Source organism: Homo sapiens, chromosome 3, assembly GCF_000001405.40.
Source record: "Homo sapiens chromosome 3, GRCh38.p14 Primary Assembly".
Taxonomy (NCBI): domain Eukaryota; kingdom Metazoa; phylum Chordata; class Mammalia; order Primates; family Hominidae; genus Homo; species Homo sapiens.
Window position 1 is genome coordinate 119,375,820 of NC_000003.12, and position 19,395 is coordinate 119,395,214.

At 44.2% G+C, this 19,395-nt stretch overlaps 1 protein-coding gene across 2 annotated transcripts in view; it reads left to right on the forward strand.

Annotated features, from left to right (window-relative positions):
- Window positions 1-19,395, forward strand: part of ARHGAP31 (Rho GTPase activating protein 31) — a 126,332-nt gene that overhangs the window by 81,437 nt on the left and 25,500 nt on the right. For both annotated transcript variants that reach the window (NM_020754.4, XM_006713714.4), the window contains exons 4-8: window positions 5,085-5,167; window positions 6,473-6,580; window positions 7,265-7,407; window positions 14,966-15,164; window positions 17,648-17,772. In NM_020754.4, coding sequence (NP_065805.2) covers window positions 5,085-5,167; window positions 6,473-6,580; window positions 7,265-7,407; window positions 14,966-15,164; window positions 17,648-17,772 — 658 coding nt within the window. The remainder of the gene's footprint in view (window positions 1-5,084; window positions 5,168-6,472; window positions 6,581-7,264; window positions 7,408-14,965; window positions 15,165-17,647; window positions 17,773-19,395) is intronic.

Sequence of the window (19,395 nt, forward strand, 5' to 3'; positions counted from 1 at the left end):
TATACTGAAATAGTATCTTTTTAAATTTTTTGAAATTTATTTATTTTTACAGATGCACTCTTACTCTGTTCCTCAAGTCTGGAGTGCAGTGGTGTAATCATAACTCACTGTAACTTCAAACTCCACGGCTCCAGCAACCCTTCTGCTTCAGCCCCTGGAGTAGCTAGAGCTACAGGCGTATGCATCAAGCCCTGCCCCAAATAATGTCTTGACGCGTCAGTCTCCCTTGGTTAAATTGTAAGCTTCCCGAGGACAGGAACTGTGTTTATTTTATTTATTGTTGTGTTTCCCTGCTTGCTAGCTTCTGGAAAATGTTGTAATTGTTACTTAGGAAATATTTACTGACAGATTTGTTGACTAGCAACTATCATTTGAAATGTCCCTTAGGGCCAGGCTTGGTGGCTTACGCCTGTAATCCCAGCACTTCGGGAGGCTGAGGTGGGCGGATCACTTGAGGTCAGTAGTTTGAGATCAGCCTGGCCAACATGGTGAAACCCCGTCTCTACTAAAAATACAAAAATTATTCGGGCATGGTAGTGTGCGCCTGTAATCCCAGCTACTCGTGAGGCTAAGGCAGGAGAATTGCTTGAACCTGGAAGGTGGAGGTTGCAAATTCCCCTGCTCCGTCTCCCATCATTTCCACCTGCCTTGCTCCATACAGGCCACACTGGCCTCCACATGTCCCCTAAGCAAGTTCAGTGTGTCCCCGCTGTCCCCAAAGCCTTTGTACCTGCTGTTTCTTCTTGGCACCCTGTTTTCCCGGATACTTGCACAATTTGTTCCTTCACTTCATCTTTGCCTCTGTTCAAATGTCACCTCCTAGAAACCTCTGATTATCCTATCTACAACAGGAGTCCCCATCATTCTCTCCCCTGTGCCCTACACTACCAGGATTGTGCCACTACACTCCAGCCTGGGTGACAGAGTGAGACTCGTCTCAAAAAAAAAAAAAAGGCAGTGTCACTTAGGGCAGACAACTAACACCTTGCAACAGGCAAAGTCAGGCTGGTTGTGAGCTCAAGACAGCTGCAAAGGGGTGCAGTAGCCAATTGTCTTGGTTTCCAGGGACTCTCCCTGTTTCAACACCGAAAATCTCATGTTCCAGGAAAACTCTGTCTTGGGCAAACCAGGATATTGGTCATCCTACTGGGAGCCCAGAGTGAAAAGGAGCTGCCTCTGCAATGCTGGTGTTCATCACTATGGGTAATGATCCCAGGATAGCAGTGTTCTGGAAGTGTGGCCCAAATGTGGCTGTTTAGCTTTTTCAAGCACAAAGCAAAATATTGACTCATTCACTTACTCCTTCCATTCAACAGTGTTTATTGGGCATCTACTACATACATTTGGCAGGCACAGTTCTAGGTGCGGAGATTTAATGGTGAATGGAACAGAGAAAATCTCTGTGCTTGTGAAATTTACATTTTAATGGAAGGGACAGATGATACCCAAATGTAAGACATAGATCTATAATGAGAACTCTTGATAAGTACTATGAAGAAAAATAATGCAGGGCACAGTGGAGAGAATGATGGGGACTCCTGTTTTAGATAGGATAATCAGAGGTCTCTAGGAGGTGACATTTGAACAGAGTCAAAGATGAAGTGAAGAAACAAATTTTGCAAGTATCCGGGAAAACAGGGTGCCAAGAAGAAACAGCAGGTACAAAGGCTTTGGGGACAGCGGGGACACGCTGAGCTTGCTTAGGGGACATGTGGAGGCCAGTGTGGCCTGTATGGAGCAAGGCAGGTGGAAATGACGGGAGACGGAGCAGGGGAATTTGCAGAGGGACCAGCTCACTTAGGAGTGCTTGCTTCCACAGGTGTAACAAAGACATAGCTATAAAGCCTGCCCTGAAGGACACACAGTGGTTCCTCTGGAGTCTGTAGTTGGAAGGAAGGTTAACTTTCCTTGTACATTCCTTTGGATGCTTTCCTTTTTTTTTTTTTTAATTATGTGCATGAATTACTTTTTAAAGGTCTAGTAAATAGCTTAAAATACCTTAAAATAATAAAAATGGTTTGATAATTTTAAAGTAATGAATAAAAAGTTAAAGTTGCAGCTGGGGTGCAGTTGGAAGGGAGAGCCTCAGACTGTCTGCGTTGGGCCACCCTGGTGACAGGGCTGCCCGGGCAGCAGGACTTGAGCTCAGGGACTGTGGTGGCTTTGAGTAAACAGAAACCCAGAGTTAGGGTCCTACCACAGAGGACAAGAGCCCAGCCTCTGCCAGCGTCCTCCAAGGGCAGGAAGCTGGCCTTACTGACACTGATTTGAAAAGAACAAATAGTCACAGATTCATCCTAGATCTTTTAAGATTTAACCATTAGCCATCTTGGCCTGGCTAATGCTGAGTGAAATTCTCTCACAGGCAAAAAACTGGGGTAGGTAAAATTTCCACTCCCATCCCCCAGTTGCCCCAGCTGTGGGTTCTGTGGTCCTAATGGGACAACATAGAGAAGCTCGAAATAAGTTTGCAGTGGCCGGGCCCCTCCAGAAGGAAAACATGAATTTAGAAAGCTTCTGGAGAGGGTTGGGGTAGGATGGGGAGAGGTTGCAAATAATGAAATAAACACCAGTCCCAAATGGGACCTGCAGGCCTCCAGGGATGAGCCTGCCCCGCCTCTTGGAGAACAAAGATGACTAACAGCTTCCTAAAATATTAAGGAACTTTCCATGAGGGTTGTTAAATTGACCTACACCTTTATTCCCCAGACACATTTTTTAAAGGAGGGTGGGGTTAGTGGTACAACGTTTGTGAAGCATGATTCCGGCTTTGCAGAGAGATGAAGAGAAGCTCCCCACCCCTCCCTGTGTGCACAGCAGAATGTGGGAGAGTCCACAGAGCATTCCCTCAGCCCTTCCCTCCCCCGGGGCTTCTCTCCCTTGGCTCCCCGGCTCCCCAGCTCCCCATTGTGAGGTTCTCACCGCCTTGCAGAGCCAGGGTCCTCTCCACAATCATGTTTTCCAAATGACAACCCCAGGGAAGAAAAGGGAGGTGTCAGGGGGCTTACTGGAAGCCCCATTCTTGCCCCTACCCTTCACCCTGCATATCTCATAAAGTGAGGATTGCAGCAGTGATCTTGCTTAGGCTGGCCTGTTCTCAGGCTGGCAAACCCACCAGAAGACTGGGACACCTATGACTATAATCCTCCCAGTCCCACGTTTCTCCCCACTTCTGCTTCAAATGCGAGACCTCAAGATTCCCACATAGAGAAGTTGGATTGCCTTAAAAAATGGTGGTCTTCTATATATTTGTTTTACTTCAATTAAATAAAAAAGGTGAAAAAGAAAAAACTTAGTGGGCAAAGCCCTGGCCTGCTGTCTCACACCTACTGTGTGCCAGGCACTGTTCTGGACACAGGGATTCATCACGTCCCAGCACTCACAGAGCTTATGTTCTAGCAAGGGAGACAGACAATAAGCAATAACTCCAATAAATAAGTGCATTCTTGTAGTGTAATGGCAGTGAGTCCTGTGGGGAAAAAGTGGGAGGGATTGGGAGGCCCAGGCTGGAGCAGGACCTCAGTGGTCTCCTCTAGGTTAAAACAGATCACACTCAACTAGTGTGTCCTAGGAACTGAAGATGCTGGTAAAGTTAATTCCCTTCCACTTTTCTGTGCCTAAAAATTCTCATTACTGACAGTGTGAAATTCAGTATTTACATGCAACATGCACACGGCAGCTAAAGGTTGAACAGAGGTGAGCAACGTAAGAAAACCATCACCACGGTTAGGATCTCATTTTGGGTTGTATGGCAAAGGGCAATATTTATCAAATTAATTAAGATATTCCATAATTGTACCTTTCATTATGTATCAATCTAAAGCAAGTTTCCAGCACTGGTAGGAAATACAAGACTAAGTGATGTGTGCCTGTGAATTCATGATCTTAGAGCCCTTTTTAAAGTATGTATTGATCTAGGTGGGTTACCTAGGTGTATACATATGAAAAAAACTCATGGAGCTATAGCTTAAGATCTGCACATTTTTAATATATGTAAATTATATCTCAGTGAAAAAGGAAAGATAGCTGTGGTTACCATGGACCTCAGGTTCAGGCACTGCTCAGATGCTGGCAGTTCATGAGCACTCACACTGCAGTGGGAGGGGCCGTGAGCACAGCAGGACAGATTCTCAGAACATGGGTGCAGGTCTGGGACCAGGGGAATCTGCCCAGGGATGCCTGCATCATGCAGCAACCCCCAGCATTCGAGAGATGGACGTGGACCAGCCTGTAATCACACTGCCTTTATTGCTATTCCTGCCTCTCCTTGAAGGCACTTGGGCTGATGGGGGAACAAAATACCCATACAGCAAATAACTGGAGAGCAAGTCTGGGCAAGGCCACCAGGTTTCAGGGACAACGCTCTTATCCCTGCCAAGGAAAGCACATCTTCCCTGCTTCCTGGCTTCTAGGACAGGCAGCAGCTGAGTCCTTGAGGTCATGGGGTAGTCACGGGCTAGGTAGGCAGTAGCTGTTTGCACCCAGAAAGACAGCTGGCTGAGTGGACTTGGTAATGCCCTGTCATCTCCATCTCATTCTGTATCTGTCTCATTTATTTATTTACTTGCTTGTTATTTATTTATGTATTCATTCATTCATTCATTCATTCATGTTTTAGAGACAGGTTGCACTATGTCGCTAGACTAGATCCAAACTCTTGTGCTCAAGCAATCCTCCCACCTCAGCCTCCTGAGTAGCTGGGATAACAGGCATGCGCCACCATGCTGGGCCTATCTCTATCTCTTTACCTCTCTGTGTGTGAGTCTCTGTATCTCTCTACCCCCGAGACACACCCGAGATTCTACACATTCTTACCAGACGCCTAGCAACCATCTCAGGATGCCCAGAGTCCCAGGCAGCCCACCGCCTGCTGTGCACACATGGTGAGACCCTGCACACACATCCAGAACCAACAGAAACTGTAGTGGGATAGTTGTTTTCATAGTAAAGCATGCCTCTTGGAAGGATGATCTCTAGGCATGGTTGTGAGGCTGGAGTATGAGGGCTTGAGTGATCCCAGCACATGCAGATGGCTGTCCCTGCTCTCAAGCACTCACCAGGCTGCCTTGTGTTCTTCTCCACAGGAGGCAGTGTCGCATTGCCCTGAAGAAGGCCAACTGGCCCGAATCCAAAATGTTATCCAGGAGCTTCCTCCATCCCACTATAGGTAAGAATGGTTGGGAAAAGAAACGTGTGGCCTCTCAATGCAGTGTAATACCAAAGAGACAGGCTGGCATCATGGAAAGGAAACAATGTGTGGACAGTAGCAAGTTTAGGCTTTCCCAAGGGCATTTTGAAGTTGGTGAACAGGTCACTATTATCAAAGTGAGTTGGTGTCTGACCAGGGACATTGGCAGCAAGGAGAAGCCAGTCTCCAAATCACCTGCAGAACACCCCTCAGAATCTCTCAGGAAGTCATTCCAGTGATGCATACTAGCCTCTTGGTGGCATTCTTGGTTCATACCCAGATTTGTAGCATAACCAAATCTATGGCAACCAAGATAGCTTTTCAACAGGGGTTGACTGTGGGCTCTTGAGCATTGGCTGATTGTTCTATTTGCTCATTAGTACCATCCCTACCATCATCCCCCACCCTTTCATTTCATTCTCACAGTTTAGCCCCTAATGTTGCCACCTTTCCCAGTGTTCCCTATGCCTGCCCATCTTTTACAAGGGGGCAGATTTTGATGTGGTATAAGAAGGAACTTCCTAGCAATAATAAATGTTGTTTATCCATGAAATTAGCTCCCTAACAAGTACCAAGATCCCTGTAGCTGGGAGAATTTTTATTAAAACGAGCCTAGATGAGAGCCTATTTCAAAACTGCTTGGAGGCCATCCTGCCCTGGTTGAAAGGACGAACAAATGGCCACTAAGAGCCTCCAGGCGGCCTGTGTGGTGGCTCATGCCTGTAATCCCAGCACTTTGGGAGGCCCAGGCGGGCGAGCACGAGGTCAGGAGATCGAGACCATCATGGCTAACACGGTGAAACCCCGTCTCTACCAAAAATACAAAAAATTAGCCGGGCGTGGTGGCGGGCGCCTTTAGTTCCAGCTAGTGGGGAGGATGAGGCCAGAGAATGGCGTGAACCCGGGAGGCGGAGCTTGCAGTGAGCTGAGATCGCGCCACTGCACTCCAGCCTGGGCGACAGAGCGAGACTCCGTCTCAAAAAAAAAAAAAAAAAAAAAAAGCCTTCAGGCTCTGAGGTGCTGTGATTCTCTAGTTCTGTCTCTGACTGGTGCTCCAGGGTCCTCTGCTTACATCTGACAAAATGGACCCCCTTCCCCACCCTGAGTCAATGTGCCTAGGGCCAAGAAAATTACTTCTGTCAATCTTGACATCTTTCCAATGTCAATTCATTAAAATAGAAATATTTAGAGTCTCTTAAATCCAAACTTAGAAATTATCTCCATATGTCAGGCTTCACACGGGCACTGAAGTTTCTTACTTTGTCAAAAAACAAACCATTCTAGGACCTTGGAATACCTGATTCGACACCTGGCCCATATCGCCTCCTTCAGCAGCAAGACCAACATGCACGCCCGGAACCTGGCCCTGGTGTGGGCGCCAAACCTCCTCAGGTAACCACTCTACCCTCCCCTTGTCACCAGCCCAGGGGGCTCAGAGCAGCCCCCGATTGAAATGAAGATTGGATTCTTCAAATTGAAGCCCCTTTAAAACAAATCTGTGGCTTAAGTGGTCATTTATAGCACATATGAATTAAAGGTGATTTAGGTGATAATAGCCTAAGCTCTCTGCCTGCTAACTTGGAAACTCTGAGTTCTGAAGACATTTTTGGCTACAGCTACAATATGGCTGAACTTATGGGTCTGTATGTTAAAATTTCTTGAAAAGGCCTTTATTGTTTTGGGGGCTCACTGCCTTGTTTTGGTGGAGTCACAGCTGGCTACAACCAGAATCAGCTGCTCCATATGATTTCATAAATAATGACCTGCTCCATAGAACAGTTAGGTGGGAGTGGAAAGGCATACTATAAAGGAAACAAAAGTCAATTTCTGTATGTTTACAGGATAGTGTTTATAGTATTGCAATGTAGAGTACCTGGTAACTGTTTCAAATTTGTTCAGTTTATTGGGCTTCACAGCCTTTGGAGAGTTCCTTTAATTGGCCCTAAATAATTAAAATATTCTATGAACTGTATCAATTTAGGAGATGAGCCTTGTGCAAAAGGCCCACTGGCTCCTCTTGCTGCTTCAGGTTGTAAGGCAAACTCACTAACTGAATATGTTTCTTCCACACGGTAGGTCTAAAGAAATTGAAGCCACTGGTTGCAATGGAGATGCAGCCTTCCTTGCAGTCCGGGTCCAGCAGGTGGTGATTGAGTTCATATTGAATCATGTAGATCAAATCTTTAACAACGGTGCACCTGGGTCTCTGGAGAATGATGGTAAGGACTCCTCCTAGCATACACTCCACCAGCTTATCCTTCTTTCTTGCAACTAGTGGTGGGACTCAACAGAAAGTGAGGGTGGGCTTAGTTCTAGCTCTGAGTGTTGGCTGTGTGTATGCTGACTACTGTGTGTCAGTGTCTGAGGATCGTGCATATATACATCTGTAAATGTGGAGTGAAGCTATGGTGTGTTTGCATGTGGCTTTAGCATGTTTCTAATCAGTTACATACATGGCCTATCCTGTGAATGTGGTATGGTGAAATAGAAGTAGAATAATGTTCTACTAGTTATAGTGAGTTCTTAAACTCCAGGTTATTTTCCAAAAGAGGTACTGCCAGCATTCTTCTCATTGACTGTTAGACTTCATCTTTACTTTCACTGTATTTCAGAAGACCCTTATGCCTTCACTTTGAAGTCTTAGAGGAACAAGTTAAGAGGCAGCATGTTCATACTCACACATATATTCAGAATGCATTCTCTTCTCAAGAATTTCTTGAGTGCTTTGTTCTGCGCTATGCCAGGCAGTAGGCATACAAAAATGATTGTGTTTGTGGGCATCTTGTAATGAATATAATGAGCCCTAGGAGTGAATTAAACTCCCTTGAACCCAGTTGGTAAAGACCAGAAATCCAGCTGACCAAGAAGCTTGGTGCATGAGAGTGGTTTTCCAACATTAGTGTAAATCGAAATTACCTGAGGAGTTTGTTAAACCAAGGTTACTGGACATCATCCCCAGAGTTTCTGCTTTAATATGTTTGGAGTGTGGCTGATAATTTGCATTTCTAACAAGTTTTCAGGTGATGCTGATGCTGCTGTTCAGGTCCACACTTGGAGAATCACTGGTGCATAAAAAACCATATCTGCAATATATTTTTTAGCTGATCAAAGAACTCCTTTCCAGTTCATCCAATATTTTGGAAAAAACAGATATCAGAATAATCAGTTGCAATTAGTATCAAATTTTGATTCCTGGTATAACTGTTCCCATCTCTACCCTGTCCTCTATGTAGTTTATGACCATTTAAAAAATTATTTTATCTACATAACGTACAATTCATCATTTTAACCATGTTAATGTGTAAAATGGTTCTTAATGTATTCACAGAATTGTACAACCATTACCGCTGTCTAATGCCATACTATTTTCATCAGTCCAAAAAGAAACCTGTCTTAGTCCGTTTTGTTCTGCTATAACAGAATACCGTAGACTGGGTAATTTGCAATGAAAGGGAATTTATTTCTCATGGTTCCAGAGGCTGGGAAGTCCAGAATCAAGGGGCTAGCACCTGGTGAGGGCCTTACCTTCTTTCTGCGTCCTCCTATGGTGAGAGATGGAAAGTCAAGAGAGTGTGAGAATGAGGGCTGAACTTGGTTTTATAACAAACCCACTCCTACAATAATGAACTCACTCCTGCAATAATGACATGAATCCACTTAGAAGGGCAGATCCCTCATGACCTGATCACCTCATAAAGGTCGCACCTCACAACAGTGTTGCATTGGGGATCAAGTTCCCAACACATGAACTTTGGGGGACACATTCAAACCATAACAAACCCCATGCTCATTAAGCAATCACTCCACATTTTCCTCCCCCACAGGCCCTGGCAACCACTAATCTACTTTCTAGTTGTATGGATTTGCCTTTTCTGGACATTTCATATAAATGGAATCATGCCATATATGGTCTTTGGTGACTTTTTTTTTTTTTTTGGATGGAGTCTCACTCTGTTGCCCAGGCTGGAGTGCAGTGGCGTGATCTTGGCTCACTGCAACCTCTGCCTCCCAGATTCAAGCCATTCTCCTGCCTCAACCTCCTGAGTAGCTGGGATTACAGGTGCCCAACACCACACCTGGCTAATTTTTTTTGTATTTGTAGTAGAGAAGGGATTTCACCATGTTGTCCAGGCTGGTCTCAAACTCCTGACCTCAAGTGATCTGCCTGCCTTGGCTTCCCAAAGTGCTAGGATTACAGGTGTGAACCACTGTGCCTAGCTGACTGTTTTTTTTTTCTTAGCATATGTTTTCAAGGTTTACCAATCTTGTTGTATATATCAGTACTTCATTCCTTCTTATGGCTGAATAAGATTCAGTTGTATAGATATACCACATTTTTATCCATTCCTTAGTTTGGGTTGTTTCTGCTTTTTGTGATTATGTATAATGCTGCTGTGAACATTCACATACACGTTTTTGTTTGAATATACGTTTTCAATTCTCTTTATTATATATGTAGGAGTGGCTGGCCTTTCTTTTTTATTTCAACTCTCCAGTTATAGATTTTTTTCTTTTAAACTATATAAAAACCTTTTTGAAAGTAAAAGAGAAGTAATATGCATACATTTATTCATTCACCCTTTTGAGCCCACAAAAAATTTATTGGGGATTTACTCTACAGCAGGAACTGTTGTAGGTATTCCACATGCAGCATTTCATTGATTTATTACAGCAAACATGATAAAGTTGTTATCAACCTTATTTTATACATGAAGAACCAGAGAACCAGAATAGCTTAGTAACTTCCCAAAGCCACCTAGTAAGTAATTCGCTGCGTGTGGACTACTGAACCCAAATCTTTTAGCCCATGCTCTTTCCTTAACTCTATTCTGCCTCTGTGAGGAAAAGAATATGAAAATAGATAACTAAATCATTGTGGAGAACTAGGGTTTTTGGGAAATGTTCTTCTGGACAGCAAATCCCATCCATGACTGTTAATGTTAAGGCTGTTCCTAATTCCAACCTGAAAATGCCTTTTCTCTTTATGGCTATTGCCTTAACCATCTTTTTGTCCTGCATATTAAAATCCAGTTTACTCTTTAGCCTTTAACTCTTCATTGCCTCCAGTGCTTATTATTCACATACATTTCATTTAAAGGTTCTTATTATAAATTCTTACTGACTTCAATAAATTGCCATACTTAATATTTACACAAAATGGAATAAGCCCTATTCTCTGGAATTTTAGATTTGGACAGAGTTCTGCTTCAAACTGAAAAGATTTTAGAAGTTTTCTTAGTCCATTTGGGCTGCTATAAAAAAAATACCATGAACTGGTTAGCTTATAAGCAATAAACCTATTTCTCTCACTTCTGGAGGCTGGGAATTTCAAGATCCAAGGGCCGGTAGATTCAGTGTCTGGTGAGGGCCCATACACCACAGTCAGCACCTTCTCACTGTGTTCTCACATGGGGAAAGGTGAAACAAGCTCCCTTGGGCCTCTTTTATAAGATTACTAATCCCATTCATTAGGGCTCCACCCTCATGACCTAATCACCTCCTAAAGACCTCACCTCTTAATTCTATTGCTTTTGTAGGGACCAGCCCTACAGGGTCAGTGGGTCTCTCCCTGTGTGCGGCGACGAGAGAGTGTAGAAATAAAGACACAAGACAAAGGGATAAGAGAAAAGACAGTTGGGCCCGGGGGACCACTACCACCAATGTGCGGAGACCAGTAGTGGCCCCAAATGTCGGGCTGCGCTGTTATTTATTGGATACAAGGCAGAAGGAGCAGGGTAAAGAATGTGAGTCACCTCCAACGATAGGTAAGGTCACGTGGGTCACGTGTCCACTGGACAGGGGGCCCTTCCCTGCCTGGCAGCTGAGACAGAGAAGGAGAGGAGACAGAGAGACAGCTTATGCCATTATTTCTGCATATCAGGGACTATTAGTATTTTCACTAATTTACTACTGCTATCTAGAAGGCAGAGCCAGGTGTACAGGATGGAACATGAAGGCAGACTAGGAGTGTGACCACTGAAGCACAGCATCACAGGGAGATGGTTAGGCCTCCAGATAACTGCGGGCGAGCCTGACTGATGTCAGGCCCTCCACAGGAGGTGGAGGAGCAGGGTCTTCTCTAAACTCCCCCGGGGAAAGGGAGACCCCCCTTTCCCGGTCTGCTAAGTAGTGGGTGTTGTTCCTTGACACCTTTTGCTACCGCTGGACCACAGTCCGCCTGGTAACGGGCGTCTTCCCAGACGCTGGCTTCACCGCTAGACCAAGGAGCCCTTCTGCTGGCCCTGTCCGGGCATAACAGAAGGCTCGCACTCTTGTCTTCTGGTCACACCTCACTATGTCCCCTCAGCTCCTATCTCTATATGGCCTGGTTTTTCCTAGGCTATGATTATAGAGCGAGGATTATTATAATATTGGAATAAAAAGTAATTGCTACAAACTAATGATTAATGATATTCATATATAATCATATCTAAGATCTATATCTGGTATAACTATTCTTGTTTTATATTTTATTATACTGGAACAGCTCGTGTCCTCTGTCTCTTGCCTCGGTGCCTGGGTGGCTTGCCGCCCACAGCTTTGAGGATTCTATTTTAACATATGAATTTTGAGGGGACAGAAACATTCACAGCATAGCAGAAGGCATTGAATCCAATACTTTTATTTGATAGATGAGAACACTGAGGCCAAAGAGATTGTGATATCTCTAATATTCACTAAAAAATAAATGTGTATTGAATATCTCCTATGAACTAGGTGCTGTTCTAGACACTGGAGACACATCAGTGCCCAAAATGACAGAAACTCCGTGGCATAGAACTATGGTCTGGTTGGGAAGACAAGGATATATAAGTTTACAAATAAATATATTATCACTTCAAAGACAATAAATACCAAGAAGAAAACATAGCAGAGTAAGGCAATAGTCAGTGACTTGGGGGTATAATTTTGGGACAGAGTGGTCAAGGTTTCTAGAGAAGTGATCTTTGAAGTGAGACCTGAATGACATGGGGAACCAGGCATGTGAGGATCTATGAGCAAATGTTCCAAAGACAGAGAACAGAGGTTGTAAAAGCTCTGAGGCAGAAAGCTTGAAGTGTTGCAGAACATTGGCCAATGTGGCTGGAACCAATGTGGCCTTCAAAGTGGGGTGCCCCACTCTGGTGGGTACCAAAGACCAAAGTAATGAGTTATGGGTGTTGGGAGAAACTGTTCAAATTTCTGTTTTCCATTTATTTTTGTCTTATACTGTGTAATTTCTATTTTTTTTATATATTTGCTATTACGCATGACACACAGTGGCATATATGTATACATATAATATGTATATGTATAATTTTTATATATATATATATATGTACACATTTTAAAATGTTTGCTATATTTTTGTAGACTACTGGGCCAGTGGGCAAACAGGAAAGGGGAAGCAGATGAAATATCCTTTTAGGTCATGCGAAGAGACGGGTTTGTTCTCAGTGCCTTGGGAAAGCATTGGAGGGTTTTGAGCAGGCCAGTGCAGGATCTAAGCCTTCCAGCTCCTGTGTGGAGGAGAGGCTGAGAGGCTGGAAGCGGGGAGACCAGTTAAGAAGCTATGGCAAAAGCAGATGGGAAATCATGGCAGCCTCTACCAGCATCTTAGCAGTGGGAAGGAGGAAAGTGGCTGGGTTCCGGATGTATTTTGGAGGTAGAGTTACGAGCCTTGCTTATAGGCTGTCTATGGAAGGAGAGATGCATTAAGGAAAAGAATAAATAAGAAATAACAACCCCAGGCTTTAGCTTGGGCACTGGGTGGTCCGTGGTGCCACCTACTGACACAAAGAAGATGAGAGGAGGTACCACAGTAGAGCAGAGGAGCACAGATCGCAAGCTCTGTTACAAAATGTAAAGTTAGAGATGCCTAAGCAGGGGCCAGGCGCGGTGGCTCACACCTGCAATCCCAGCATTTTGGGAGGCTGAGGCGGGCAAACCACTTGAGGTCAGGAGTTCGAGACCAGTCTGGCCAACATGGAGAAACCCCATTACTATTTTAGAAAATACAAAAAATTAGCTTGGCATGGCGGTGGGTGCCTGTAGTCCCAGCTACTCAGGAGGCTGAGGCAGGAGAATCACTTGAACCCAGGAGTCGGAGGTTGCAGTGAGCCGAGATTGCACCACTGCAGTCCAGCCTGGGCGACAGAGCGAGACTCCGTTTAAAAAAAACAAAAAAACAAAAACTTAACCAACTAACAAACAAACAAAAAAAACCATCTAATCAGAGACACTAAGCGGGCCTTAGTCCTAGGAGCCTGGAGCTGACAGGAGAGGTGGGCACTAAACTTGGTCTTCTGACCCTGCAGTTTATGTTCTTCCCATTGTTGCAGTTGCTCCCAGAGTGAGTTAATGTATGTATTTATTTTTATGTATTTTTAAGCAAATACATAATCACAAATAATCTAGAATATGTGAGAGTCTTTGAACAAATATTCAAAGTAGATTAAATTTAAATATTTTTAACCCTCTTTGGATCGGGTCAAAAGACTGTGTTAAAGTCAGAAAGTTTACTGAAAAGTTTTCAGGATCCCAGGCTATATTTAACAGTAGTCCTACTGAATTAGTGCCATCCATGCTAGTCCTCCCCAGAAACACCCCATTGTCACATAACAGTTGTCTTCATTTTCTGTGAGGCCCTTTTTCAATGGTTTTACTTCTTCCCACCCACAGAGGGTCATGCTCTGCAAAGAGAAATAGTGCCATCAATCTGCTTTCTGAAAATACAGTGAGTCCTCCACCAAAAGTAATTTCAATTGGTCTAAATTATCCTTGAGTCTTTTTACTATTTCAGAAGTCATAGAAAACTGGCAAGGTCACCAAAAACTAAATAGAAGCAAACTTAGACTATTTTTTAACTTAGATCAGCTTCACAACCTCAGCACTATTGATATTGAGTGCTGGATGATTCTTATTGTGAGGCACTGCTCTGTGCATTGCAGGACGCTTAACAGCATCCCTGGCCTTTGCCTACTAGACACCAGTAGCACTGCCACACACATTGATGACCATCAAAAATATCTCCAGACATTGCCAGATGTCCCTGGGTGTGGAGGGGAGTGGTACACAAAATCACCTCAAGGTGAGAACCACTGACTTGGAGAAAAGAGATAATCCTGTGCATCAGCGATTGTCATCATCACTTCCATTCTTTAAAAAAAAAAATGCCATAGAATAGGAAAGGATCAGCTACATACACTAGGAGACAACTGGGTAGTGAGTAAAAAAACCACAGGAAATAGTATAGGCTGTAAAATATCTTCCTGTGGCAGGGATATAAGCCTAGATGATCTGAAAAGTAGAGGTTCTAACTTGAAATGGCCTTGGAGCATGTGCTGTCCAGCTGTGGGGAGGAGAGGCAGCCTCCTGCCCTACTCTGGCAGTTAGGCTATCTCTGTGGCTGGACAGACATATTCCCATCTGGCCGAAGCACTGGGCAGAGTTTTCAGGAGTAAAGACTCATTGTTGTCACTCTGGCTCACAGTGAGTGTTCAATAAATGTTTGTTATAGGAATGAATGAATGGATGAGTGAGTGGTCCCTCTCTGAAAAGTATGGAAGGTGCAGCTACCTCCTGAAGCCCCTGTTTGTCCTCTGGCAGGTCTGGCCAGGACAGTCATCAGTTTCCGGTGTGCAGCCTCAGCCCCAGGCCCCACCATGCCCAAGAGAAGCCAGGGTGGCACTCAGCCCCCATCATAGGATCAAGAATGGAGGGACTGTGGATGGGGAATCTGGATGGATGTGATGGGCAGGCCTCCTCCAACACTGAGCTCTTCCATTGCCTTTACAGAAAACCGGCCCATCATGAAGAGCCTGACCTTGCCAGCCCTCTCCCTGCCCATGAAGCTGGTGAGCCTTGAGGAAGCTCAAGCCCGCAGCCTGGCCACTAACCATCCTGCTCGCAAGGAAAGGAGGGAGAACAGCCTGCCTGAGATTGTCCCTCCCATGGGCACCCTCTTCCACACTGTCCTTGAGTTACCAGACAACAAGTAAGTGGCACTCTTTTAAAAAATTCTAGGAGATGTGTGGTTGAAGAGGAAAGAGGAGGAGAGGTATACAGTCTCAGGACCAAGATGGCAGTGTGGGTTGGAGGTACCGTCTGGGTTGGGGTTTAAGGAAACATTCCAGAAGAGAAGGGAGCTGTCTCTACAACTCTCTCACCAGCAGTTGATGCCTTTATGCATGCACTGCCCCAAAGTTAACAAGACCCCTGATCTCCCATTGATCAAGCACCATTTTGGGAGAGTATTATAGGGGTCACATCACAAGTCATGACTGAAATTCCTGTCTTTTTAGTGTAGACAAATCAGGCTTGGTGTTTACAAAAGGAAGTTTACTAAAAACAAAACTTCGACCCCCTCCCCGACCCTCCATCCCCACGTGACGATACAAAAAGCATAGGGTTGACAAATGGTGTCACTAGGCTGATAGCTCTGGGTGAGCAGCAGTTGGGGACATGCAAACCTGGCATCCTTGTCAGAGTCTGTCAGAGCCTTCCCTCATCTCCAAAATAAATCAAGCATTGTTTTCATTGGTAGAATATTTTCTTTCCTCATTTCTCCCTGTCACTTCTTCTGTTGCCACCTGGGTCTCTACCCCCCCCTCCCCCCCGCCGTCACTCATATCCCATAGTAGAAAGAAGCGGGGATTGAACAGGAGTCCTAAATTCTAAGCAGATTGTAGGTGGAGGGGCTGAAAGGCAACCTTTCCATTGAAGGTGTCATTCCCACTCTTTGGTCAGTGAAAACAGGTATGAAAACAGGCACCTCTTGCACAGGCTGCCACCTTGCACAACTAGGAGATGCCAGTCATGCTGCATGCTATAGGAATGGCATATCTGGAACTCACCTGGTGAGAAACCCATCTGTGTGCTGGAAAATATATGGATCGTGTTTTCTTGAGACTCAGCCCCACTGCTCCTTTCCCTAAGTCCCTGGAGAATAAGTCTCATTTCTCCCTGATCCTCCAGAGATCAGGAAGAATACCTTGGAAAGACTACCAAATGCATTTTCTCTGTGCTTTCAACCACATCTCGGGTGCACCATACCCAAAGGTACGCTACCCTATAAAATATTACCCAAGGATAAAAGCTTGACAAAATGTGGGCCAAGTCCAGAGGAAACCACCAAGCACTGCAAAGCTATCTCAGATGGATCATAAAAACATCCTGGGTCCAGGTATGATGACTCACACCTGTAATCCCAGCACTTTGGGAGGCTAAGGTGGGAGGATCGTTTGAGCCCAGGAGTTTGAGACCAGCCTGGGCAACATGGTGAAACCCAGTCTTTACAAAATATAAAAATATCAGCCGGGTGTGGTGGCATGTGCCTGTAGTCCCAGCTACTCGGGAGGCCGAGGCAGGAGGATTGCTTGAGCCCAAGAGGTCAAGACTGCAGTAAGCCTTGTTTGCACCACTGAACTCCAGCCTGGGTAACAGAGCGAGACCCTGTCTCAACAACAACAACAACAACAACAAACATGGTGGGCTTGAGATCTGGATGTTCCACGAGAGCCCTGCGGAGAATAGGTCCTTTGTGGGACCCACAGATTGCAGGTTTTCATCCTGAAACTTCATACATTCCAATGGCTGGGCAGAGCCACAGCAGGGCAAGGCCTCCATGGTGACCCCTGGGGTGCCAGGCTGTCTCGACGCAGCCTAGTGCTCCTCTTTCCCCATCTCACCAAAGCAGCCTGGTGTGAGGCTAAGCCAGAGACACACTGACTACCCTCTGCGTTTCTCTGCAGTGATCATTGACCACACACTGCAGGCTGCTACTCTCCTCAGCCTCACCAGGCCAGACTCTTTTCCAGGTCGGATTTCTCATCCAACCCTTTTCAGTCCGTGAAAGTCTTCACCAGCCCTCTCTTTGCCTGTGGATGTCCCAGCAGTGTGGCTGTAGTGCAGGAGCCCAACAGGACCTAGGTGCATATGGTCTTTAGTGTTTACTCCTGTATAAAAACTGGCCATGTGTGGTGGGTGGCCCAGTACTGTCATCCCAGCACTTGGGAGGCTGAAGCGAGAGGATGGTTTGAGTCCAAGTGTTCAAGGCCAGCCTGGGCAAGATAGTGAGACCCCCATCTCTATAAATGAATAAAATGAATGAATGGTGTCTTTGAAATTCCAGAACAAAAGTGCTTATCAGAATTCCCAGAATTGTGTGTTTGCTTGTGACCACTGAGATTCCTACCGATTCTTGCATCTGTTTGCCCCCACCTCTGCCTTTAATAGCACACCTTTACCTCTTGCCCTGGGAAATACAGTTTGCTGTGACTCATGAAAGCCTTGCTTGGTCACCTGGGGCATCTCTAGACAAGGTGAGAATCAAGCTTACCTTGGATTTTAGAGGGGAATTTCTTGAAATATCAGAGCCATTCATAACTGAGGACATAACTGGAATATTTGGTCTCAATTTAAAAGTCCCCTTGAAATGACAAGTTAACAAACTAACCCCTTATGCCTTGGTTCTTTTAGGCGAAAGCTCTCCAGTAAATCAAAGAAGTGGAAATCAATATTTAACCTGGGACGTTCTGGATCAGACTCCAAATCAAAACTGAGTAGAAATGGGAGTGTATTTGTGAGAGGACAGAGGCTCTCGGGTAAGAATCAACAGCAATTGTTTTATGATACAAATATTTGTTTCCTAACTCTGCTTATTAAGTCTTTGGTTTGATCATATCAAACACACTAGCTCTGAAAGAGAAACTTATAAATTAACTAGGGGAAGAGGAGTCTTTTTTCAAAACATTTTAGACTTACCAAAAAAATTGCAAAAATAGTACACAGAGAACCTGTATACCCTTCATGCAGCTTCTCCCAATGTTAACATCTTATATAAGTTATCAAAGCCAAAAATTAATATTGATACAATACTCCTAATGAATTTGCAGATCTTATTCACATTTGGCCAGCTGTCCCACTACTGTTCTTTTTCTGGTCTAGGATCCAATCCAGGATCTCACGCTACATTTGGTTGTCATGTTTCCTTAACCTCTGCCAATCTAGGACAATTCCTCCATCTTTTTGACCGTGATAACTTGGAAGAGTACTGGCCATTTGTTTAGTAGAATATACCTCAGGGAGAGTTTGTCCAGTGTTTTCTCATGGTTAAACTGAGGTTAGGAATTTTTGCAGAAATCCTACAGAAGTGATCCTGTGCCAGACTCAGTGTGTTATATTAGGAGGTACATGATGTCAATATCTTATTGCGTGTGAAGAGAACTGTGATCCCTTGGTTAAAGTGCTCTTTGTCATGAATTTTAGGATCCTCTGATGGTTCTTGGATGTAACAATTATTCCTATGGCATTTGCTAAATGATGATTTTCTATTAATTGGAATTCTGCTGAAAAGACCTGTCCCTTCTCCCCCAGGGTCGTGATTTTTAAAGAAGGATGCTACCCCATGGGACTTATTTCTGAGTAGTGCATAGAAATTGATACAGGAAGGAACTGAGGGAACCATATATAGTGGGGAATTTAACCAATGCAGCTGAATATTATGTCAGGAAAGAGAAGACCAAGGAAATTTTTCATAATGATCTTTAGTGTTATAGATTGAAAGTATGATAAAAATGGAGGCAATAGTTATGAAACCAAGGTGTAAAAGAGAAATGTACAAATGCAGTGAGCAAACTTTGACTGGATCCTGGAAAAAAAACCAAAAAAACAAAAAAAAGAGCTGACCGAGCACAGTGGTTCGTGCCTGTAATCCCAACACTTTGGGAAGCTGAGGTGGGCAGATCACTTGAGCCCAGGAGTTCGAGACCAGCCTGAGGAACATAGCAAAACCACATCTCTAAAAAACAAAAATAAGAAAAAACAACAAAAGACAATTTGGGGAACAAAGAGGGAAAATGTGGATATAGAAGATATTAAATGATATTAAGGAATTATAAATTTTCATAGTATGCTAATGGTTCTTAGGAGACATATACTAAAACTAAAGTATTCAAGGATGAAGCAGCAAAATATTGACACTTTAAAATAACTAGCAAATTATAGGTAGGTAGATAAATATCAATATAGAAATAGATAATGCAAATATATGGCAAAATGTCAATAATTATCAAAACTAAGGTGGTAAGTTTAAGGGTGGTAGGTTTCTAAATGTTTGAAATTTTTAATAGAGATTTGGGGGAAAATTAATTCCTATAGGAAATATGTGAGATAATATTTTTAACGACTTTCCTCAAACCCGGTGATAATCACATGCCAAGGATCAG